We start from the raw sequence: 24,961 nt of genomic DNA on the forward strand, positions 1-24,961 counted from the left end.
TGTCTTTTATGTATTTCCTTCCTTATCCACGCACCTGTCTCCCTCTACTCCAGCCTCATTACCCCAGAGGTCAGTCCTCAGGAAAACTAAACACAAAGAAAGAGCTCAGTCAGAAAGGCCATTTATTTATGTTTCAAGATGCTCACTGCCTCCTTTGTTTTGTCTCCTTTGCAGGCCTTCTCTCTTAGGCCTCTTCTCCTGGGGGTATGGATCCTGGGGGGAGATTGATCACCTCCATGCTTCCATTCCTCCCCAGCCATAGTGGGGACATCATGAGAGAAGCCAAGCCACTGGCCCAGGATCACCCGGCATTTATGGTGGCTGCTCTGGCACAGGTCCTTGCCTTTATAGCCCCTCCAGTGATCCATAAGGCCCTCTTTCTCCCCAAAGGAGAGGTCACAGATAGGGCAAAGGTAGCTCTTCTGCTTCCAGTGGGTCTGCTGGTGTCTGACCAGCCTGGAAAATGAGCTGAAAGACTTGCTGCAATGGAAGCAGTAGTTGGGCGGCTCTGTGAGGTGGGCCTTCTGGTGTCTGGAGAGATAGGATTTCTTGCTAAAAGTCAAAGAACAATGGGGGCAACAGAAGACATTGAGTCTTGAGGGCTTCACTGGATGAGAGTTGGATCTGGCATCCTGACAGAGGGTTCCAGTGATGGGTGCCTGGGTCCTGGTCACAGGTGCTTGGTTCTTAAGTACAGATGCCTGGTTCTGGGCCATAGGACCCTCAGTTCTAAATATGGGTTCCTGGGACCTGGCCACTGGTGCATGGTTCACATCCAAAAGCCCCTGGATGGACCTCTGGCTTCTGGCGATGGGTGTCTGGAATTCAGCCTGGGTGCCTGGAATCCTCAAAGTACACTCCTGGTTTCCATCCACTGGCTCCTGGTTTTGGTGTATCTTCTGGTGGCGTTTGAGCTCAGACTGGTCCCGGAAGCTCTTCCCACACACAGAGCATGAATGGGGCCGGTAACCCAGATGGACGCGGCGGTGACGACTTAGTCCAGAAGCATCACAGTAGGTCTTGTCACAGAGCGTGCAACAGAAGGGCCTCTCCCCAAGATGCATGCGTCTGTGATAGCTGAGGGACTTGGGGCTCCGAAACAACTTCCCACACTGACTGCAGCTGTTAGTCAGCTTGGGATTGTGAACAAACTGGTGGCTATAGAGGTAGGAGCGCCTGCTGAAACATTTGCCACAGGTGTAGCAAAAAAAGGGTGGCCCAGCCTGGGATGCTTGAAGCACCCGGGTCCTGTCCATAGTCCCAGCTGGGGCAGATAGGGGGCACTGGCCGGCCCCTCTGCATGCAAGGAAGACCTTGTCATCACTAGTCCCCTCATCTCTCAGACTGGGATGTTGTTCTCGAAGCTCTTTCTTCTTGCCTTCTACAGTGAATGAGGAAGAATAACACAAAATTCACTGTAAGAACTCCAACAGAGGCTTGGCATGGTGGCTCACACCTGTAATCCCAGCACTTTGGGAGGCCGAGGCCAGCGGATCACCTGAGGTTAGGAGTTCGAAACCAGCCTGACCAACATGGTGAAACCCTGTCTCTACTACAAATACAAAAATTAGCTGGGCGTCATGGCATCTGCCTGTAATCTCAGCTACTAGGGAGACTGAGGCAGGACAATCACTCGAACCCGGGAGGCGGAGGTTGCAGTGAGCCAAGATGGTGCCACTGCACTCCTGCCTGGGCAACTAGAGTGAAACTCTGTCTCAAAAAAAAAAAAAGAAAGAAAGAAAAAGAAGAAGAAGAAGGAGAAGGAGAAGAAGGAGAAGGAGAAGAGAAGGAGAAGAAGAAGAAGAAGGAAGAAGAAGAAGAAGAAAAGAAAAGAAGAAGAAGAAGAAGACGAAGACGAAGAAGAAGAAGAAGAGGAAGAAGAAGAACTCCAACACAGCACTCCATTCAGCCTAACACACTTCTTGTCTCTGCCCTTGCTCTCCCACCCAACACATTCATCCTTACCCTTGGGCCTCATAGGCTAGAAATAAGAAGAAAAAAAGAAAAAATTGGCTTTTCAAATTAGAAGCAAATAAAAAGTTAACTGGAATCTTTCAACACTGTCAGAAATGTAAATTTTAACTTACAACAACACTTCTTGAAATCTATCTTATCTCATTCTCAATATTGCTCAAACTCCCATAGACAATCCACAGACACCCACATAATAATGCATCATGAACACTGGGCCACTTGAGGGTGAAAAGAGGTGTTATTAATAATCAAGCTGGGATGAGAAGTATAAACCAGGACTGTCCTGGAAAACCAAAAAGTGTATCAGCCTGGCTTGATATCTCTCTCAACTATTTACTACCAGGGACAAGCCTCCCTTACTCCAACCCAGCATGAAACCTATCTCCTTTGCTTCTCTTTTCTCTTGGAAAGAACATTTTAATCAGAGCACTATCATGGACATAAGCAACTTTCATGTCATCTCTCAATCTCTAGAAACTGAAGACATCTACTTCTCCTGAAAGACTTAGATCTTCAGCCAGCCAGGCACGGTGGCTCATGCCTGTAATCCCAGCACTTTGGGAGGCCGAGGTGGATGGATAACCTGAGGTCAAGACATCAAGACCATCCTGGCCAACATGGTGAAACCCTGTCTCTACTAAAAATACAAAAATTATCTGGACACGGTGGCACATGCCTGTAGTCCCAGCTACTCGAGAGGCTGAGGCAGGAGAATCGCTTGAACCCGGGAAGTGGAGGTTGCAGTAAGCCAAGATTGTGCCACTGCACTCCAGCCTGGCAACAGAGCGAGACTGTGTCTCAAAAAAAAAAAAAAAAAAAAAAAGAGAGAGAGAGAGAGACTTGGATCTTCAACTTGAAGTCAAGGGACTTGAGCCTATGATATTAAGCTCTCTTTCAACTCCAAGTCTGACCAGGCTGGACAGAGGTACACTAGGAGAGCATCTATAGAGCATTCATCCTCTTCATCAGCTCTCCATCCTTTCAGGGGTTATCCTGGGCCCTTTTCCCCTTCCTCCCTGCTTGGCAATTCTTACCTGAAAGGCCTTCTGTGTTTGGGAGATGGACAAACTCTCTCCACTGTTCCTCTTCTTGCTCAAGCTTGGTGATTAGCTCTGGCTTATGCAGAAAGATTCTGGCTGATGTGTGGGAATGAGAAAGAGTTGAGTTGGTCCCAGGTATGGCCCCTTCACATCTGATGGGGACAACAGGCTACCTCCTGTAGCCTTTGTTTAAGAACCATAACCTGGGACATGTAGATGCGGAAAGGAGACATTAAAAGGCCAGCTGCTAGCAAAGTACCTGGTTCTCAGGAGTGACTTAGTAAATATTTGTTTGATGAATGGAAAAATTTGCATATTTTGAGAACACTGTCATCATGTTACAAGTGTTATCTTTGCCTTCATGCAGGCTATCATTTCTTCTCTTTACCACTGAGCTTAGTGACTCAGATCTTTCACACCTGGAAAGCATAGAACCAGGGGTCAGTGAAACTAATTGTAAGCTGATCTACCTGTCCAGGGAAACCAGATGTTCCAGGGCCCTTAGGACAGGGGGCTTGCTGAGGGAAGCCCAGCCTCTTACCCACAGATGTTAGATTCTTAAAGGTTTCCGACATAACATCCTGGTAAAGGACCCTCTGGCTGGCATCTAGACAGTCCCACTCTTCCTGGGTGAAATTCACTGCCACATCCTCAAAGGTGACTGGCTTCTGGAAGAACAGGAGAGACTCAAGAAGTTTATATAAATATATATGTGTGTGTGTGTGTGTGTGTGTACAAGATTAACATCCAGTCTCAAGATTCAGAGAATTAAAACCTAAGAGAAAGATAAAACCATGGAAGGAAGAGAGAAATATTAAAAGACAGACACAAGGCCAGCAACTGTGAAGTATAGAAAGGAAAGGAGGCCGGACGCGGTGGCTCACGCCTGTAATCCCAGCACTTTGGGAGGCTGAGGCAGGCAGATCACGAGGTCGGGAGTTCGAGACCAGCCTGACCAATATGGTGAAACCTGGTCTCTGCTAAAAACACAAAAATTAGCTGGGCATGGTGGCGCATGCCTGTAATCCCAGCTACTCAGGAGGCTGAGGCAGGAGAATTGCTTGAGCCCGGGAGGCAGAGGTAGCAGTGAGCCAAGATCGCGCCACCGCACTCCAGCCTGGGTGACAGAGCGAGACTCCGTCTCAAAAAAAAAAAAAAGAAAAAAAAAAAAAGGAAAGGAAAGATGAAGAGAAAGGGAGAAAGATAAGATGTGGGGGAGAGGAAAGAGGATATGCAGATATGCAGAATATAAACAGGAAAGCAAAGCGAAGGAAAAAATGCTGCCACTCTAACAAATTTCAGGAAGTACTCCATGAAGGATGCCAGGATGGTGCGGGAGATGGAGAAAGGTCTTGCAGCTCCTTTTTCTGGATGTCGTTCAGTCTGGAACAATCTGAGATTTCATTTGACCTGCAGGCAGGAGTATGTATGAAAGAGCTCCTGGAGTCCAGGACCTGGACCCCACCTCTCTCTAGCTTAGTCTCCTCACCTTCTTCACCCGTGCCTCCCTCCAGCAATCTCTCTTCATGGCTTCCTGCAGGGTGGCAGCTACCTCGCCCACCCATGGGAGCGTCTTCTGTACAGGTTCGATTGGCTTCAGCTGTTCAAACATCTTCTCTTCTGTGGTGTCTCTTTCTAGCTTTATCCACTCCTGGCCTGGTGCCCAGGCCTGACTGGATTCCTTCCTGGGGCTATCTACCTCCCAGTAACTGGGCAGATGGAGAGGCCCAGCAAAGGCCCCAGGGTTTGATGTGGCTTCCTGTGACAAATGTATCTGCTCCAAGAGGCTGTCTTCCTTTTTTGTTCTGCTGTCCAAATTCTCCTCTTCCACAATTGAGAACAATTTTGCTTCCCTCAAAGCTGGGCCACCGAGTTCAGGGCCCTGGTCACCCTTGGCTCACCAGCTGCCATTGTTTAGTAACAACACCAGCCTGGGCTAGGTGTCTGCCGTCTGTTCTACCCTGCTTCTAGAAACCTGAGGTCAGAGAAAAACAAAACATATCAGCAAGAGGGAGGGTAAGAAACAGCTTCCTTATTTGGTCAGGGAATGCCAGCAGTTACTAAACCCCTACAGTGTGCCACTGGATGCTCTCAGCAATGAGGTAACAATTACTGGCCCTGTCTTAAGGACCTAATGCAGAGATGCTAAATAATTTTCCAAGGACAAGTGGACATTCTTGATCTACAAAAGTTAATGTTTAAACCTAATGTTAATGTTAGACTCAGTACCATTGGAAATCATGTAGCTGGGGTAACCAGGCTAGGATCTGTCACAGATCACCTCGAGTGAGTCTCTTTATTCTTTCTGACTTGGTTTCATCAGAAATGTGAGAATAAAGGAGACACTCTCTAAGATCTCTTCCATGACCAAAATTATACACACACACACACACACACACACACACAATTCTGTGATCTGGATTTTCAATACATGTAGTAGTTCCCCTTTATCATGGTTTTGCTTTCCAATGCTTCAGTTACCCATGGTCAACCATGGTTCAAAAATATTAAATGAAAAATTCCGGAGGACAGGCACAGTGGCTCACACCTGTAATCCCAGCATTTTGGGAGGCTGAGGTAGGCAGATCATCTGAGGTCAGGAGTTCGAGATCAGCCTGGTCAACATGGTGAAACCCTGTCTCTACTAAAAATACAAAAAGAAAATAGCTGGGCATAGTGGCACACATCTGTAATCCCAGCAACTCAGGAGGCTGAGGCAGGAGAATCACTTGAACCCTGGAGGTGGACGTTGCCATGAGCCAAGACTGCGCCACTGCACTCCAGCCTGGGACATAGAGCGAGACTCCGTCTCAAAAAAAAATCCAGAGATAAACAATTCCTAAGTTTTAAATTGCTTGACATTCTGAGTAGTGTGATGAAATCTTGTACCTTTTCTCTCTGGCCTGCCCAGGATGTGAATCATCCCTTTGACTAGCATATCCACACTGCAGACAATACCTGCCCATTAGTTCCTTAGTAGCTAGCCATCTCAGTTACCAGGTTGACTACTGTAGTATAGCAGTTGCCTGTGCTCAAGAATGCCTTATTTTACTTAATAATGACCCAAAAGCACAAGAGTAGAGACGCTGGAAATTCAGATATGCAAAGAGAAGCCATAAAATAAAAAGGTAAAAATTCTTGTCTTAAGGAAAGAAAAAATAATCATATGCTGAGGTTGCTAAGATTTACAATATAAATTATTTTGAGAGAGATACCACATTCATACAACTTTTATTACAATATATTGCTGTAATTGTTCTATCTTATTACTAGTTATTGTTGTCAATCTCTTACCATGCCTAATTTGTAAATTAAACTTTATCATTATTATGTATGTATAGAAAAAGAAAACCATAGTGTATACAGGGTTTGGTACTATTCATGGTTTCAAAGTATCCACTGGGGTGGGGCGCGGTGGATCACTTCAGGGCAGGAATTTGAGACCAGCCTGGCCAACATGGTGAAACCCCGTCTCTACTGAAAATACAAAAATTAGCTGGGCGTGGTGGCACGCTGTAGTCCCAGCTGCTCAGGATGCTGAGGCAGAATTACTTGAACCCGTGAGGTGAAGGTTGCAGTGAGCCAAGACTGTGCCACTGTACTCCAGCCTGGGTGACAGAGCGAGATTCTGCCTCAAACAACAACAAAAACAAAGTATCCACTAGAGCTCTTGGAACATATCACCTGTGGATAAGGGGAACCACTGTATATACAGATCTTTGTGAAGAATACTGCTAACAACCCAAGAGCAATCACTTATTCAGGGCTCACAATGAGCCCAGCACTGGAGTTCCCTGCTCATCCTTGGAAATTTCCTGCTCAGATGCAAACATAGCTGAACTCTCACCTTTTCCTGCTGACAGCCACTCACCCACATCTCCCTTACTAGAGATAGAAAGAAAAGAATAAAGACCAAAAAACCCTGTTGACTATTTTTTCCTTTCACTTTTTGAGAAGTGTTAATAGAACTGAAAATACCAGCAAGGAAAAACGCCCTCGAGGAATAGAGTTAATTGGATCTCCAAAATGTTGTCATGAAAGGTGCATTCCTGGGATATGAATTTGATTTCCTTCCTTTCTTCCTCTCTCTTTCTTTCCTCTCTCTCCCTTTCCTTTCCTGTCTTTCAAAACCATTCGCACTCCTTTTATGAGGCATGCAGATCTTGGATTATTCTTCCACTTTCCAGCCAACTGCACTTCAAAACAGCCTTAATAAGGCTGGGCACGGTGGCTCAGCCTGTAATCCCAACACTTGGGGAGGCCGAGGCGGGCGGATCACCTGAGGTCAGGAGTTTGAGACCAGCCTGACCAACATGGACCTCGTCTCTACTAAAAATACAAAATTATCCCGGCGTGGTGGCGCATGCCTGTAATCGTAGCTACTAGGGAGGCTGAGGCAGGAGAATCGCTTGAACCCGGGAGGCAGAGGTTGCGGTGAGCGGAGATCGCGCCATTGCACTCCAGCCAGGGAAATGAGAGTGAAACTCCGTCTCAAAAACAAACAAACAAACAAACAAACAAAAAAAAACGCCTTAGTAACAGTGCCCTCAAGAACCTGGCCTTCCAGTTCTCTGGCAGAGAAGACCTACTGCTGCCGCTAGTCCTCAAGATGGCATTTGCTGGAGGCGGTAGGCAGAGGCCCTAAGTGTGGATTCTAACCCCCGTGGGGACTGAATCTCTGCGGCTGTTGCTTGCCCAGGCACGTTTGCCTCCCATGAACTTCCTTCATCCACAGGGCCCCAAACCTCATGCCGGCGGGAGGAGGAAGGAGACTGGGCATAACTCATCAGACTTTCGACTGTAAGAGCTGGAGGCCGCCTGCGGGCTTATCTGTACCCGGGCCTGTCCCCACCCTTCCAGAATGTAAATCCTCTGAGGGAATGTGTCGTCGCCATCTTTCAGTCCTTTGAGTGCACCCAGTCTCTCTCCAACCCAAAACCCTTTATCCACAGCAATTCTGAGAATGATGAGAATCCCCCTCACCCCTCACACCGCAAACAGTTGCAATGCTTAGTGGGATTCACCCTTGTCGTCACCAACCCTGCTACTCCAGCCACGTGAGTTTTCCGCCTGTCAGCCAAGCAAAATGGCCTTCCTGCAGTCGCACGGCCCTTTGGTCTCTGCTCAGGGCTTCGGGGACCCTTTCCAGCCATTGCCCTGCACCTACCCACCAGATCGCCGCCCTGGTGGGCGCTCCTGGCCCTGTCCTCCGCGCTTAGTTTGTCATTGGGCGCCCAGATCCGGAACCCCAGCCTCGAAGCTTCCGGTGGCCGGGAACAAAGCCGGTTTTGCTCACTGTCGCCTGGCAAAGCAGGCGCTTGTTAGCACCCACTGAATGCGCTTATGTGCTCAGAAACGGTCCCATTGGTTGGGACTACCTTCCCCGATGCCCATCCGCCCAGAATCTTCCTTCTGGGATGCCGACTTTTTCAACACGTGCCAGGAGCCCTTCCTCGGCCCGGAATCCCCAGAGTGCCCACAGTGGACAGGGCACCTGGATACACCCCAGACTAACCCACGTTTCCCCGGAGGACCCCAGAGGTTGGAAGCCCCTCCAAGATTAGGGGCGCAGTGCTCCCCTGGCCTGCGGAAGAGTCAGAGGAGTGGGGACAACATCCAACATCAGCCTCTACTACCGCTAGCGCGACTCCCCGCCGCCGCTCTACTCACCTGACGCGCGCAGTGGACCGCGATTTAGGGGCACAGGGTCTCCCGGGGACCAGCGGCTGGAGCGCTCCGGCCGAGCACCCGCAGTCCCGGCGCCGCGGCCCCACCCCGGCCCCGCCCTCTTCCGCTCCCTCCCAGTCATCAGGCCACCGAGAATGTGCCCCTTGACCCAGATGAGAGGGTGAGCCCGCCAAGGTCAAGCTTCCCATCCTAAGAATCACAGACAGCCCGGCCATGCACCACCACTTCGAGCCTCCGACCAACTGATAGCTGCTGGTCCCAAGTAGCGCTAGGATTTTCGCTTTCCCAGTCTTAATTGACTCTAAAAGAAGAAGAAAAAAAAGCCTGGGCGCGATTGCTCACACCTGTAATTCCGGCACTTTGGGAGGTCGAGGCTGGTGAATTACCTGAAGTCAGGAGTTCAAGACCACCCTGGCCAACATGGCGAAACCTCGTCTCTACTAAAAGTACAAAAATTAGCCAGGCGTGGTGGCGGGCGCCTGTAACCCCAGCTACTCAGGAGGCTGAGGCAGGAGAATCGCTTGAATCCGGGAGGTGGAGGTTGCAGTGAGCCCAGATCACGCCACTGCACTCCAGCCTGGGCAAAAAGAGTGAAACTCCATCTCAAAAAAAAAAAAAAAAAAAAAAAAGAGGAAAGTATTTACGAAAAAAAAAAAAAAAGACCAAAGTATTATGATTAAAACACGCGGCTGAGAGCGGTGGCTCACACCTGTAATCCCAGCACTTTGGGAGGCTGAGGGGGCGGATCACCTGAGGTCAGAAGTTCGACCTCAGCGTGGCCAATATGGCGAAACCTTGTCCCTATTAAAAATACAAAAGTTAGCCGGTGGTGGTGACGCACACCTGTAATCCCAGCTACTTGGGAGACATTGCCGTTACTGGGCAAGTGTTCTTTCAAGAGCATCTTATCTGAATTACTATAGTACTAAAGAATGTCTAGGCTGGGCCCCCGTGGCTCACTCCTGGAATGCTAACACTTTGGGAAGCTGAGGAGGGAGGATTGCTGGAGGCCAGGAGTTCAAGACCAACCTGGGCAACATAGCAAGACCCTTTCTCTAGAAAAAATGAAAACAACTTGGCCAGGTGTTGTGGTACATGCCTTTAGTCCTAGGTGCTTAGGAGGTTGAGGTGGGAGGATTGCTTGAGCTCAGGAGTTTGAGGTTACAGTGAGCTATGATTGCACCACTGCATTCCAGCCTTGGCAATGGAGTGAGGCCCTATTTCTAAACAGAACAAAAAAAAAGAATGCCTGCTGATAAACCTTGTGACAGGACATTCATGAAGGATGAAGAAAAGATTTCTTTTATTTTTTTATTTTTATTTTTTTGAGACAGAGTCTCGCTCTGTTGCCCCGGCTGGAGTGCAGTGGCGCCATCTCAGCTCACTGCAACCTCCAACTCCTGAGTAGCTGGGATTACAGGTGCGTGCCACCATACCCGGTTAATTTTTTTTTTTTTTTTTTTTTTTTTAGTACACACAGGGTTTCACCATGTTGGTCAGGCTGGTCTCAAACTCCTGACCTCATGATCTGCCTGCCTCAGCCTCCCAAAGTGCTGGGATTACAGGCGTGAGCCACCGCGCCCGGCTAGAAAAGATTTCTTTCTTTTTTCTTTTTTTTTTTTAATTATACTGTAAGTTTTAGGGTACATATGCACAACATGCCGGTTAGTTACATATGTATACATGTGCCATGTTGGTGTGCTGCACCCATAACTCATCATTTAACATTAGATATATCTCCTAATGCTATCCCTCCCCACTCCCTAGAAAAGATTTCTTGTGGAGTTTTTAAAAAGTCCTTTGAAACAATTCTTTTCTTTTCCTTTTTTTTTTTTTTCGATACAGAGTTTTGCTCTTGTTGCCCAGGCTAGAGTGCAATGGCATGATCTCGGCTCACCGCAACCTCCGCCTCCCGGGTTCAAGCGATTCTCCTGCCTCAGCCTCCCTAGTAGCTGGGATTACAGGCATGCACCACCATGCTTGGCTAATTTTGTATTTTTAGTAGAGATGGGGTTTCTCCATGTTGGTCAGGCTGTTCTCGAACTCCCAACCTCAGGTGATCCACCCACCTCGGCCTCCCAAAGTGCTGGGATTACAGGCATGAGCTACCACGCCCAACTTAACAATTCTTACTTCAAACATGTAAGCATGACGTTCCTCTCCTTCATGCCTTCCTGGCCTTTTTTTTTTTTTTTTTTTTTTTTGAGACAGAGTCTCGCTTCTTCACCTAGGCTAGCGTGCAATGGTGTGATCTTGGCTCACTGCAACCTCCACCTCCCAGGTTCAAGCAATTCTCGTGCCTCAGCCTCCCCAGTAGCTGGGATTACAACCACATGCCAGCACGTCCGACTAATTTTTGTACTTTTAGTAGAGATGGGGGTTTCACTATGTAGGCCAGGCTGGTCTCGAACTCCTGACCTCAGGTGATCCGCTCGCCTCGGCCTCCCAAAGTGCTGGGATTACAAGCGTAAGCCACCGTGCCTGGCCTGGCCCTATTTTATCTGGGTCTGACAAAAGTTATTTCATCCTAGTATCTGCAATTTTTCCGCAGAAAATTACAGAGACGCACAGTGAATGTGAAAGGAGGGAAATTAACAATAGCTATTGGCAGAGCCAAACAAATCATTACACTTTAGCTGGATCATCTGGGAGTTGAGACCTTGAGGGTATAAGGAGGTAGCATGTCAATGCTTGTTAAGAAAGAATGGCAACAACTGTGCTGCCTTACAGATCAGCACCTTCTGCAGTCTGCGAGCCCAACCTTAGATCCATTTGTAGGCAACAGTAAAAGGTCTCATATTTTCATCGCAGTGAGCCCTGACTGCCATCAGGAAGATTTGGTCCTCTAGGTAAGATTTCCCTGAGACAAAGTACTATGGGAAATCAAGTGCATATTCAGCCTCTTAGTACTCTGGGTTGGTGTTACCGTACTGACGAAGGCGATCCATTGATGAAAAACAAACTGACCTAAAGAAATGTAAATAAATGCTTGCAGTCAGCCCTGTTCCTCTGAAAAATTCCCCTAGCCCTTATGTTGAAACCTGATGAGAACTTTAAAAATGTTAACTTGGTAATGGATGGAATCCTCCTCATTCAAGGTTACCCCTGTGCAAGTCAAGCTCAAGTCAGCCTGAAGGTGCAAACCCCATGGACTCAGCCAGAGCCTATGGCTGTGGGTGCTAGATCCAAGGCCAAAACTGATGGCATCAGCCATCAGGATGTTTCTGCCCAATATAAAGTATTGGGTGGGCTGAGAACACTGAAAGCTTGCCATGCAGAAAGAAACTGAAAGTAAATGCGTGACTTTAATGGAACAGAACTTGTTTCTCCCTCCATGCTCCCAATCCCTTTAGATCCCTTTATCTCACCTCAGCCACTTTAAGACAAAAGGTGATTAGAGGTGTAGAGAAGTTCTAATGGGATACATTCATTTGCAGTAGTCCCCCAAGGTACTGTGATAGGCAGAATTCTAAAGATGCTTTCCCCCTCAAGATTGCTTCCCCTGGTTATTCAGTCAAATACTAATCAAAGTACAGATGCTCTTCAATTTAAAATGGGGTTATGTTTCAATAAAACCATTGTAACTGAAAAATATTTTCAAGTGGAAAATGTATTTAATGCACCTAACCTACTGAATATATTAGCTCAGCCTAGCCTACCTTAAATGTGCTCAGAACACATTTGCCTACAGTTGGGCAAAATCACTTAACACAAATCCCCTTGTATGATAAAGTGTTGACTATCTCATGTAACTGGTTGCATACAGTACAGTATAGAGTACAGTATCAGTTGTTACCATCATAATTGTGTGGCTGATGGGAGCTGCAGCTCACTACTGCTGTCCAGCACCGTCACAGAGTATCATACTCTCTAACCCAGGAAAATATCAAAATTCAAAGTACAGTTTATACTGAATGTGTGTTGCTTTCACATCATCATAAAGTTGAAAAACTGTAAGTTGAGCCATCGTAAATCAGGGACCATCTGCACCACTATGTAGGGATTATGCTGTTGTAATTGAAGTCCCAAGACAATTGACCATAAAACAGGTTATCTGGTTGGGCCTGATCTAACCACATGAACTCCTTAAGGGGCAGAAAAAACAAAGATCAAAGAGAAGTTGGGAAGATTCAAAGCAAAAGAAGTATTCAGTGTACCATGGCTGTGTTTCAAGATGGAGGTGGCCATGAGCAAAAGAATGCAGGTAACTTCCAGAAGCTGAGAGCAACCCTTGGTTGACAGCTAGCAAGGAAACAGGAACCTAATTCCTATAATCACTTCTTCTCCCCTTGTCTTCTTCCCTTTCTTCGTGTGTAAGCGCATTATACTATCTCTGTAAGCACAAAAATTGCCTAAAATTTAAGTGTAGTTTTCTGATCGCTTGTAAAACTGACACAGCTATAATTATCATCCATGTTAAAAACACCATCCCAGTTAGAAACCTGTGAGCCTCTCCCCAAGCAGAACCCATTTATCCTACACAGGTGTCATCAGAGCTGATTCCTTTCTATGCCCCTTTATCTCTAATGTCCCTATTCTGCTCCTGTTTTCACTTCACCAGCAGCTTCTCCAACTCCCTAGGCCAATGCCCTGAGAATTTCCCTTCCTCTCCCCCATCCTAGGGATGGAGAGTAGGGGTTGGTCCCCAGGATAAGCCACATTTATCCCTGGAAGCAGCAGCAGAAGTGACAGTATGTTTGTGGGGTCCACTTGTAACCTGGGAACCACTTGTTTTGGCCTGGAAACCTCGCTCTGTCCCGAGGTCAGAATCCACGGTCACTAGGTGGAGAGGAAACATCTATGTCAGCGTGGATTTGGGAAACACTTCAGATTCCGAGCCTAACACGGGACTGGGGCGCCCCCTTGGGTACGTTGTCCTGTCCAGTTGCTGAAAGCCAAAGGTGACAATGGGGAGGTCTCAACCTGAGGAGGAGGCCAAAAGAGTCCGGTCTTCTGTTCTCAGCCCGCTGACCACACACAAGTGCCGATGTTCTGCTCTCTTGGATTCTGATTGAGCAGCCTGGGAGAGGACTGGGCTGCAGTCTAAACTGGACAGATATGGCTGGTGTGGAGGCTGGCTGTCAATGAGGGAGTGAAGGTAAGCCGCCCGAAAAGTAGATAATTTTTACTTCCACTTTCTTTTTCTTTCCTGAGCACTAGTTATAAAAATATCCTTTTAAAATCTAAAATATTGGCCAGGCACGGTGGCTCACACTTGTAATCCCAGCACTTTGGGAGGCCGAGGCAGATGGATTACCTGAGGTGGGGGGTTTGAGACCAGCCTGACCAATATGGAGAAATCCTCTCTCTACTAAAAATACAAAATTAGCCGGGCATGGTGGTGCATTCCTGTAATCCCAGCTACTCAGGAGGCTGAGGCAGGAGAATCTCTTGAGCCTGGGAGGTGGAGGTTGCGGTGAGCCAAGATCGCGCCATTGCACTCCAGCCTGGGCAACAAGAGCAAAACTCCGTCTCAAAAATCAAATCAAATCAAATCAAATCAAATCTACAATATTTTTGGATTTACAGAAAAGTTGCAAAGATAGTACATAGTTCTCCTATGTTCCACATTCAGTTTCCTCTATTATTAATGTCTTATTTTATTATACATTTGTGACAGGTTATGAAACAATATTGATACATTGTTACTAACTCCTATTTTATTTGGATTTTATTCTTTTCCCTAACATCACTTTTATGTTCCAGGATCCCATCCAGGATACATTACATTTAGTCCCCTTTATATCTCCTTAGCCTCCTCTGGTCTGTGACAATTTCTCAGACCTCGTTTTTGATAATTTGGTATTTCTTGAGGAGTACTAGTGAGGCATATTGTAAAATGTCCCTTAATTTGAGTGTGGTTGACAGGGCTATAGGTTTGGGGGAAGAAGAGCACAGAGATGAAATGCAATACTCTCAATACAACATACCAAGAGTGTATATTACCCAGTTGATGTATCAAATGATTATGTTAACCTCCATCACTTGGCTAGGGCAGTGTTTCCCAGTCTATAATATATAATTTTTAATAGCATCCCAAAAAGACTAAAACACTTGCCCTTGCATGAAGAACCCTGTCTGACTTCTGGGAGCCCAAGGAGACGCAGGGGAGGTCCACAGCGAGAAGAAAAGGGGGCTCAGGTCGTCTGTCCTCAGGTCTATGGCCACTTGGGGGTGGCACCTCTCTGGTGTCTCAGACACAAATTGAGCAATCAGAAAAGGCTGGGATGTCTGTGGTCTGAGTTGGGCAGAGGTGGCTGACCCTGGAACCTGACATCAATAGGGGGATGAAGACAATTTCTGAGCAGCCCCAGTAGTCAGAGGACAAGAGAACTCTGGAGCCCCGCACTGTCTCTGAGGTTCCAATCTTTTCTCCCTCTTCCCAGCCCCTTGATAGGAAACCCTGGGAAAACTAAAAAGTATACTGTTTTTTCTTTAACTCCCTATTCCTTTCCTCTTCTGAGGGTTGTTGTTGTTGTTTTTTTTTAATAAACTTATTAATTTTAGAATACTTTTAGATTACACAAAAGTTGAAAAGATAATACATAGTTCTCACATATGTCACACTCAGCTCCCCATTGTTAACATATTTTTTTTTTTTTTGAGGGAGTCTCACTCTGTCGCCCAGGCTGAAGTGCAGTGGCACGATTTCGGCTCACTGCAACCTCTGCCTCCGGGTTTCAAGCCATTCTCCTGCCTCAGCCTCCTGAGTAGCTAGGATTACAGGTGCGCGCCACCATGCCCAGCTAGTTTTTGTAGTTTTAGTAAAGACAGGGTTCCACCACATTGGCCAGGCTGGTCTCGAACTCCTGACCTCAGGTGATCTACCCGCTCAGCTTCCCAAAGTGCTGGCATTACAGGTGTGTGCCACTGCCCCCAGCCCCATTGTTAACATCTTATATCACTATTATACATTTTTCACAACCAGTGAGACAATATTAATATAGTATCACTAAACTTTATTTCGATTTCATTAGCTCTTTCTGTTTTGAAACAAAGTCTTGCTCTGTCACCCAGGCCGGAGTGCAATGGCATGATGTCCACTCACTGCAACCTCCACCTCCCGAGTTCAAATGATTTTCATGCCTCAGCCTCCTGAATAGCTGTGACTACAGACACATGCCACCGTGCCTGGCTGATTTCTGTATTTTTAGTAGAGACAGGATTTCACCATGTTGGTCAGGCTGGTCTCTTACTCCTGACCTAAAGTGATCCACCCGCCTTGGCCTCCCAAAGTGCTAGGATTACAGGTGTGAGCCACCATGCCCAGCCAGGTTTCATTAGTTCTTTTAACTTCCTTTTTCTGTCACAGGATTTCATCGAGGATATCACATTGTATTTAGTCCTAATCATGTCTCCTTAAGGCTCCTCCAGGTTGACTTTGTTTTCAATGACTGTCTTAGTATGTTGAGTATTACTATAACAGAATAACTTGAAACTGGGTAGTTTATAAAGAGAAGATGTTTATTTAGCTCATGATTTTGCAGGCTGGGAAGTTCAACAGGATAGTGCTGGATCTGGCAAACTTCTGGTGAAGGCCAAATGTTAGGTCAAAACATTTTGGAGAAGGGGAAAAGTGAGTGGCATGTGCAAAAACATCACATGGGGAGACAGGGAAGCAAGAGAGAGTCTAGGAAACCAAACTTGCTTTTATAACAACCTGCTTTTTGGTAACTAACCTAGCCCCAACAGAGTAATAAATTACTCGCTCATGTGGGAGGACATTAATCTATTCATGAAGGATCTGCTCCTGATGACCCAAACGCCTCCCACTAAGCCCCACCTCCAACACCACCACCACATTGAGAACTTTTTTTTTTTTGCCTGAGGTTGGGAGTTTGAGACCAGCCTCACCAACATGGATAAACCCTGTCTCTACTAAAAATAGAAAATTAGCCAGGTGTGATGGCACATGCCTGTAATCCCAGTTATTCAGGAGGCTGAGGCAGGAGAATTGCTTGAACCCGGGAGGTGGAAGTTGCAGTGAGCCAAGATCATGCCATTGCACTCCAGCCTGGGCAACAAGAGTGAAACTCTGTCTCAAAGAAAAAAAAAAAAGAGTAAACAAAATTTAATTTTCCTAATGGAAAAAATTATGGTGCATTCTATAACAATAGAGGACTCACAGAAAACTTTGCAGGTAGATATATCAATAGAGCAATGAAAACAAAGGTATGTAAGTAGTAAATAGAAACTTCAGAGTAAATAGGTAAGAATTCCACAAAACTCAATGTACTGAAGGTTCATTTTACTCTCTAAAGGAGGAAGAACAGTCGTCTTGATGGGTGTGTTTAAGGGGCAATGATTGTGATGGAGTCTCAAATATTTCCTGACAGATTTTCTGATGTGTAACAATTTTCCTGAAAATGCAAATGATTCAGATCTTTTCTTTATCTTTCATTGTTTATTAATATCATATAAACACCAGCCTGACAAAAATGGTGAAACCCCATCTCTACTAAAAATACAAAAATTGGCCGGGCGTGGTGGCACGTGCCTGTAATCCCAGCTACTCAGGAGGCTGAGGCAGGAGAATCCCGTGAACCAGGGAGGCAGAAGTTTGCAGTGAGCCGAGATCGCGCCATTACACTCCAGCCTGGGCGACAGAGTGAGACTCTGTCCGCCCCGCGCCCCCCTCCCCCCACAAAAAATAAACAGCAGAACACCTTAACTATGAAGAGAATACAATATCATTCATTTGCTCTCTTTTTTTCTAGTATCATTTATCACACACACACACCCTCACACCTTTTGCTCAATAGGTAAACATCTCTTTCACTTCTGTATCACTTTCTTTCTTTCTTTCTTTCTTTCTTTTTTGAGACGGAGTCTCGCCCTTTAAGTGCAGTTGCGCTGTCTCTGCTCACTGCAAGCTCCGCCTCCCGGGTTCACGCCATTCTCCTGCCTCAGCCTCCCGAGTAGCTGGGACTACAGGCGCCCGCCACCGTGCCGGGCTAATTCTTTGTATTTTTAGTAGAGACTGAGTTTCACCTGTTAGCCAGGATGGTCTCGATCTCCTGACCTCGTGATCCGCCCTCCTCGGCTTCCCAAAGTGCTAGGATTACAGGCGTGAGCCACCGCGCCCGGCCTCTGTACCATTTTCTCCACTTTGAGGCAGAGTCTCTCTCTGTCGCCCAGGCTGGAGTGCAGTGGCGGGATCTCGGCTCACTGCAAGCTCCACCTCCCGGGTTCACGCCATTCGTCTGCCTCAGCCTCCAGAGTAGCTGGGACTACAGGTGCCCGCCACCACGCCCGGCTAATTTTTTTGTATTTTTAGTAGAGACGAGGTTTCACCTCGTTAGCCAGGATGGTCTCGATCTCCTGACCTAGTGATCCGCCCACCTCGGCCTCCCAAAGTGCTGGGATGATAGGCGTGAGCCACCGCGCCCGGCCTTTTTAAGACAGAGTTTCGCTCTTGTTGCCCAGGCTGGAGTGCAATGGCCCGATCTTGGCCCACCACAACCTCTGCCTCCTGGGTTCAAGTCAAGCGATTCTCCTGCCTCAGCCTTCCGAGTAGCTGGGATTACAGGCATGCACCACCACGCCTGCCTAATTTGTATTTTCAGTAGAGAGGGGGTTTCTCCATGTTGGTCAGGCTGGTCTCAAACTCCCAACCTCAGGTGATCCGCCGGCCTTGGCCTCCCAATTTCCTGGGATTACAGGCGTGAGCCACCGCACCCAGCCTGGTTTAATACTTTTTATTTAGTGGCACAATGCCCAGGAATGAATTAAAGTCATTAAATGAGGACTAGGTTGCTATGCACTTGGCTGTTTCTGGACTTCCTGTGCTGTTCCATTGGTTGGTCTATTCATTCACCAGTGCCACACTGTTCTAGTGACAGGGAATTTGTAAAATATTTAACTATTAGGCATAACTAGACACCCAATTCTCAATTTGTTTTTTTCCCCCAAGGGATTTTCTAATTATTCTTATTTATTTTCTCATGTGAACTTTATAATCTACTTGTCTAGCTTGAGAAAAAAAGTAGTTGTTGGCATTTTGATTAGGAGGTATTACATTTGAAAATTTACTCTGCAAATGTGCTGTATAGTCTTCCTATTTGAGAATGTTCTTCTGTACTACACAGCCATAAAAAGGAATGAATTAACAGCATTTTCAGTGACCTGGATGAGATTGGAGACTGTTATTCTAAGTGAAATAACTCAGGAATGGGAAACCAAACATTGTATGTTCTCACTGATATGTAGAAGCTGAGTTATGAAGACACAAAGGCATATGAATGATGCAATGGACTTTGGGGACTTGAGAGGAAGAATAGGAGGGGGCAAGGGACAGAAGACTACAAGGTGCAGTGTATACTGCTCGGGTGATAAGTGCATCGAAATCTCACAAATCACCACTAAAGAACTTACTCGTGTAACCGAATACCACCTGTACCCCAAGAACTTACGGAAAAGAAAAAAAAAAGTTCTTCATTTTTTTTTTTTTTTTTTTTTTGAAATGGACTCTCATTCTGTCACCCAGGCTGGAGTGCAGTGGTGTGACCTCGGCTCACCACAACCTCCACTTCCCAGGTTCAAGCCATTCTCCTGCCTCAGCCTCCCAGGTAGTTGGGATTATAGGCTCACACCACCACACCCGGCTAATTTTTGTATTTTTAGTAGAAGCAGGGTTTCACCACTTGGCCAGGCTGGTCTCAAACTCCTGATCTCAGGTGATCCTCCAACCTCAGCCTGCCAAAGTGCTGAGATTACAGGCGTGAGACACCGCACCCGGCCCGATTTGTTCATATCTAATTTTTAAATTTCAGATGTGTTTTAATGTTTTCATTTAAAGTTTGCACACTTCTTAGTAATTTTTTCATTAAAAACCTTTTTGTTTCTATTATATATGAGGTTATCGCCTCACAAAAATTTTAACTTTTTATTGTTTATATGAACAAAGGCAATTGTTTAATGTTTGGGAATTTATATGCTACTATATGCTATTTCTTTTCTTTTCTTTTCCTTTACTTTTTTGTTTTTTTTGAGAGGGAATTTCACTCTTGTCGCCCAGGCTGGAGTGCAATGGCGCGATCTGGGCTCACTGCAACCTCTGCCTCCTGGGTTCAAGCGATTCTCCTGCCTCAGCCTCCCAAGTAGCTGGGATTTATAGGCACGCACCACCATACCCGGCTAATTTTGTATTTTTAATAGAGGCAGGTTTTCACCACGTTGGCCAGGCTGGTCTTGAATTCCTGATCTCAGGTGATCTGCCTGTCTCAGCCTCCCAAAGCGCTGGGATTAGTCGTGAGCCACCTCGCCCGGCCTAGTCCCTTCTTTCAAATTTCATCACCACTCTTTGCTTGTTTTTCTTTTTTTCTTTTCTTTTCTTTTTTTTTTTTTGAGACAGAATCTCGCTCTGTCAGCCAGGCTGGAGTGCAGTGGCACGATCTCGGCTCACTGCAAGCTCCGCCTCCCAGGTTGAAGCGATTCTCCTGCCTCAGCCTCCTGAGCAGCTGGGACTACAGGTGCGTGCCACCATGCCCAGCTAATTTTTGTATTTTTAATAGAGGTGGAGTTTCTCCATACTGGCCAGGCTGGTCTCTAACTCCTGATCTCGTGATCCGCCCACCTCAGCCTCCCAAAGAGCTAGGATTACAGGTGTGAGTCACCGCGCCCGGCCGCAATTTTTTTTTTTTTTTTTTTTTTTTTTTTTTTTTTTTTTTTTTTTGAGAAGGAGTCTGGCTCTTGTTGCCCAGGCTAGAGTGCAATGGCGCCATATTGTAGCAGGACGAGCCGCAGACAAAACTCCTCAGACACCGAGTTAAAGAAGGAATGGGTTTATTCGGCCGGGGGCATCGGCAAGACTCCTGTGTCAGGAGCCGAGCTCCCCCAGTGAGCAATTTCTGTCCCTTTTAAGGGATCACAACTCTAAGGGGGTGCGCTTGAGAGGGCCGTGATCGATTGAGCAAGCAGGGGTTATGTGACTAGGGGCTGCATGTCCCAGTAATTAGATCGGAACAAACAGGATAGGGATTTTCACAGTGCTTTTTTTTTTTTTTTTTTTTTTTTGAGACGGAGTCTCGCTCCGTTGTCCAGGCTGGCGTGCAGTGGCGCGATCTCGGCTCACTGCAAGCTCCACCTCCCGGGTTCTCGCCATTCTCCTTCCTGCCTCAGCTTCGGGAGTAGCTGGGACTACAGGCGCCTGCAACCACGCCCGGCTAATTTTTTGTATTTTTAGTAGAGACGGGGTTTCACTGTGTTACCCAGGACAGTATCGATCTCCTGACCTCGTGATCCACCCACCTTAGCCTCCCAAAGTACTGGGATTACAGGCGTGACCCACCGTGCCCGGCCTGAAAAATCCACTGTTAGACTGATGGAATTTCCTATATAGGTTTTTAGGACACTTTTTCTCTTCTCTTGCTCATTTTAAGATTTTTTTTCCTTTACATTGAGTTTAGATTGTCTGATGACTATTTGTCTTGGTGAAGTCCATCTTGCAATGTATTTTCCAGGAGTTCTCTAAGTATCTTCTATCTGGATTTTAAATCTGTAGCCAGGGTTAGGGAAGTTTTCCTCAATTATTTCCTCAAGTAGATTTTCCACACTTTTTACCCTTCATTCTCCCTTAGGAATACCTATGATTCATGGGTACAGATGTTTTACATAACCCCATACTTCCTGAAGGCTTTGTTCATATTTTAATTCTCTTTTCTTTCTTTTTGTCTGACTGGGTTAATTTGAAAGACCTGTCTTCAAGCTCTGAAATTCTTTCTTCTGCTTGGTCTAGTCTATTGTTAAAGCTTTCAGCTGCATTTGGAACTACTTTGATGAATTTTTTATTTCCAGGTGGTTTAATTTTTTTTTTTTTTTTCTTTTGAGAAGGAGTCTCGCTCTGTCGCCCAGGCTGGAGTGCAGTGGCGCAATCTCGGCTCACTGCAAGCTCTGCCTCCCGGGTTCAGACCATTCTCCTGCCTCAGCCTCCTGAGTAGCTGGGACTACAGGCGCCTGCAACCAGGCCCGGCTAATTTTTTGTATTTTGAGTAGAGACGAGGTTTCACTGTGTTAGCCAGGATGGTCTAGATCTCCTGACCTCGTGATCTGCCCGCCTCAGCCTCCCAAAATGCTGGGATTACAGGCATGAGCCACCGCGCCCAGCCCAGGTGGTTTACTTTTTTAAAAATATTTATCTCTTGGTAAATTTTTTATTCATATGCTGAATTGATTTTTTACATTTCTTTGTGTTGTTTTCAACTTTCTCTTGGATTTCATTGAGCTTCTTTATAATCATTATTTTGAATTATTTATTTGGTATTTCAAAGATTTTATTTTTGTTAGGATCTATTGCTAGAAAGTTAGTGTAATGTTTTGGGGATGTCATAACACTCTTTTTTCAGAGTATGTTTTCAAAACATTCTACTGTTTTCAACAGAGAAACAAAGGACTTACTTAAAAAATAGAAAACATAGAGAGTTCCAGAATCATTTCTTTGGTTCCTTCTCATCTGTAGAAACTTTCTCTTCTTATTTTTGAATTTATTTCATTTGGGCAGGATTTTTTTTTCCCTTTACTATGTGACTATAATGTATGTTGTTTAAGGTCCTTTGCATTTGGTTGTGAATGCTTTCAGTGGCAAAGACGCTGTAGTTGTCCCCTGGTTATAGATAGCCTTTGTATGGTGGCTTTCTCAAATGCCAGTTGTGGTGGTGATGTACTGGGAGTGTGAACAGGCTCACAGCCTCCTGCAGGGCCAGGATGGCAGAGGTTTAAGAAGTTTATCTCATTTCCTCTTTTGGAAGAGATGAGAAGTTTATTTCCACTCATGTGCCCTTTTGTCAACTGATTTGTATTGAGGTGCGTGGTTCAGCCTCCAGAACAGTAGGTGGGCTTATGCCTAAAAGCCTATGTGGCAGAAGCACGTGAGTATATGCTTCATCATTGTATACCTAGAAAAGTTCTCTGTTGCCTCAGGAAATGTGCTGGTAAGTGGAATGTACAGCAGCCTGGGCTCCCTGCTCAGCACCAGAGAGGGGGACATAGCTGAGTAGAGCTGGATCCCCAAGCCTGCCCCACAATGGTGAGCACAGGCAGCAGCTTTCAGGCAGGAGTGATGGCATGGGAAACTTCTGGTGAAACGTGCCTAGGTCTCCACAGATGAGGAGAGGGCTGCCCCAGCTTCATGACCTGGCCAGGCAGGAATGCCATCCATTTCCCTGTCATTCCCTAGTCCTGGCATCGGGGAAACTCAAATTGACCAGACACTACTCTCTATCTCCAACTGCAATGTAGTTGAGACTCATTAAAGATGTCTTCTCCTCAGCTCACCATTTAAATGTCTTTGGTGCAGAGCATCCTCCCTCAACCCCAAACACATAGCTTTTCTTTTTCTTTTTTTTTTTGAGATGGAGTTTTGCTCTTGTTGCCCAGGCTGGAGTGCAATGGCGTGATCTCAGCTCACCGCAACCTCCACCTCCCAGGTTCAAGCAATTCTCCTGCCTCAGCCTCTCGAGTACCTGGGATTACAGGCATGCGCCACCACGCCTGGCTAATTGTTTTTGTAGTTTTAGTAGAGACAGGGTTTCTCCATGTTGGTCAGGCTGGTCTCGAACTCCTGACCTCAGATGATCCGCCCACCTCGGCCTCCCAAAGTGCTGGGATTACAGGCGTGAGCCACCGCGCCTGGCCTGCACATAGCTTTTCAGCTTTCCTGCTCTCCACTGCAGGAATGCTAGCACTCCCTGTAGAGAGGGGAAAGGGCCCTGTCTTTCACACAAGCCTGGCCCAAATGGCCACACTGCCAGTGGAAACACAGTCACCCCTGATAGCCCTAGAAAGGCTCTTCTCTGGCACACGTGCCAATTTCCCATGGGAGTGGCCATGCTGTGTTTGAAGCAGTGGTGGATGGGGGAAGGGCAGGAGAATTTCCCCTTTCCATGCCTGATTCTAAGCACTGGGGCTGCTTGGCTGCTGGGATGGAACTACACTCCTTCAGCGCAGAGCTGAACACAGTGTCCACGACTCTGCTGGAAGTGGTGCAGTCACTCAGCCCACAAACAAGGAGCTCTTGGACACAGATGAGTACATGGTCTGGCCTCCTTTGTCCCAACTGGTACTTTTTTTGTGTACTGCAGTCTCCCTTTCCTTAGGAGCAGCAATCCCTGATGGCTAGACCACTGGGAACCCTGCAGCTCCACTGGGTCCAGCCAGCCCTGTGTGGCTGCCACAATCCAAGTGGGCACTGGGGGCATGGCTGCAGGAGCTTCTGTGATGTGAATATACAAAGGTTGGGGTTCCCTGGGAAGGACACAGTCCCCTGATGGCTACACTCCTAATATGGCACCCTGCCAACACTGCCCGAGTCTGGAGGAGGGACAAGTGACCCAGCGCAAGTTGGTTGTCTGGTGTGATGCCCTCCAGAAGTTCCCAAATCGCCATGCACATCAGTGTTTGGCTTTGTGAGGGCAGAGGAGCTCTCCGACAGTTCAGATACTGGTGGTCTTCCTTAGGGACGACGGGAGTCAAAACACTCCTATCTTACCTTTCAATGAAATACCAAGTCTCTCAAGGTTCCTAGCTGATTTCTGCCAGCTTCTTACTTTCTTCTTTTTTTCTGTCTCAGCTTTTCCCCATGAGTTCTGAAACATTCTGATGTGATTCTGACAGCTATTTCCACACTCAGGCTGGGCCCTGGAGGAGTGCCCTCTGCTGGTTCTCTGAGACCTGTGGCTGGGATCATCTCTGATAAGGTTTGGGTGTTTGTCCCCTCCAAATCTCATGTTGAAAGATCCCCAGTGTTGGAGCTGGGGCCTAGTGGGAGGCGTTTGGGTCATGGGACCGGTTCTCTCTTGAGTGGCTTAGTACCCTGCCCATGGTAATGAGTGAGCTTTCACTCTATTCGTTCACACGAGAGCTGATTATTTAAAAGAGCCTAGCAGCTCTCTTGCTCTTTCTCTCTCCATGTGACACACCTGCTCTTCCTTTGCCTTCTGCCACAAGTAAAAGCTTCCTGAGACTTCACCAGAATCCTAGTGGAGCTGGCCCCATGATTGTACAGCCTGCAGAACTGTGAGCCAAATAAATCTCTTTTCTTTATAAATTACTTAAACCCAGGTATTCCTTTACAACAACGCAAATGGACTAATACAGTCTCCCTCTGCTGCCTCCAAGGTCACTCCTTGATCTTCACTGCTTTAGGCAGCCTTTTACCCTACTTTGTAGTTGGAGCTTCAGGGGCTTAACATCTTAAAAGTTTTATTTTATTTTTTAATTTATGCTTTTTAAAAAAATTTTTTTGAGATGGAGTTTTGCTCTTG

The 24,961-nt window shown here is 46.6% G+C and overlaps 1 protein-coding gene across 2 annotated transcripts, besides 2 other annotated features; it reads right to left on the reverse strand.

Annotated features, from left to right (window-relative positions):
* ZFP57 (ZFP57 zinc finger protein) lies at positions 15–8,775 on the reverse strand. 2 transcript variants are annotated; one of them, NM_001109809.5, is made up of 5 exons: positions 8,685–8,775; positions 4,504–4,989; positions 3,556–3,682; positions 3,009–3,110; positions 106–1,381 (listed from the first exon to the last, which is right to left on the reverse strand). In NM_001109809.5, exons 2-5 carry the CDS (start codon positions 4,624–4,626, stop codon positions 123–125), a joined length of 1,611 nt encoding a protein of 536 aa, NP_001103279.2. In that variant the 5' UTR covers positions 4,627–4,989; positions 8,685–8,775; the 3' UTR covers positions 106–122. The 2 variants fall into 2 exon arrangements, with proteins under 2 accessions (NP_001353262.1, NP_001103279.2); NM_001366333.2 differs by lacking the exon at positions 4,504–4,989 and having other exon boundaries at positions 15–1,381.
* Positions 7,356–7,876: an enhancer, noted in NCBI's record as "H3K27ac-H3K4me1 hESC enhancer chr6:29647510-29648030 (GRCh37/hg19 assembly coordinates)". NCBI's record gives its function as "activates a minimal SCP1, AML or CMV promoter by ChIP-STARR-seq in primed H9 embryonic stem cells {active_cell/tissue: H9 hESC(primed)}" and the evidence as "EXISTENCE:reporter gene assay evidence [ECO:0000049][PMID:30033119]".
* Positions 7,877–8,398: an enhancer, noted in NCBI's record as "H3K27ac-H3K4me1 hESC enhancer chr6:29648031-29648552 (GRCh37/hg19 assembly coordinates)". NCBI's record gives its function as "activates a minimal SCP1, AML or CMV promoter by ChIP-STARR-seq in primed H9 embryonic stem cells {active_cell/tissue: H9 hESC(primed)}" and the evidence as "EXISTENCE:reporter gene assay evidence [ECO:0000049][PMID:30033119]".

This window comes from Homo sapiens, chromosome 6, assembly GCF_000001405.40.
Source record: "Homo sapiens chromosome 6, GRCh38.p14 Primary Assembly".
In the NCBI taxonomy this organism is placed as follows: domain Eukaryota; kingdom Metazoa; phylum Chordata; class Mammalia; order Primates; family Hominidae; genus Homo; species Homo sapiens.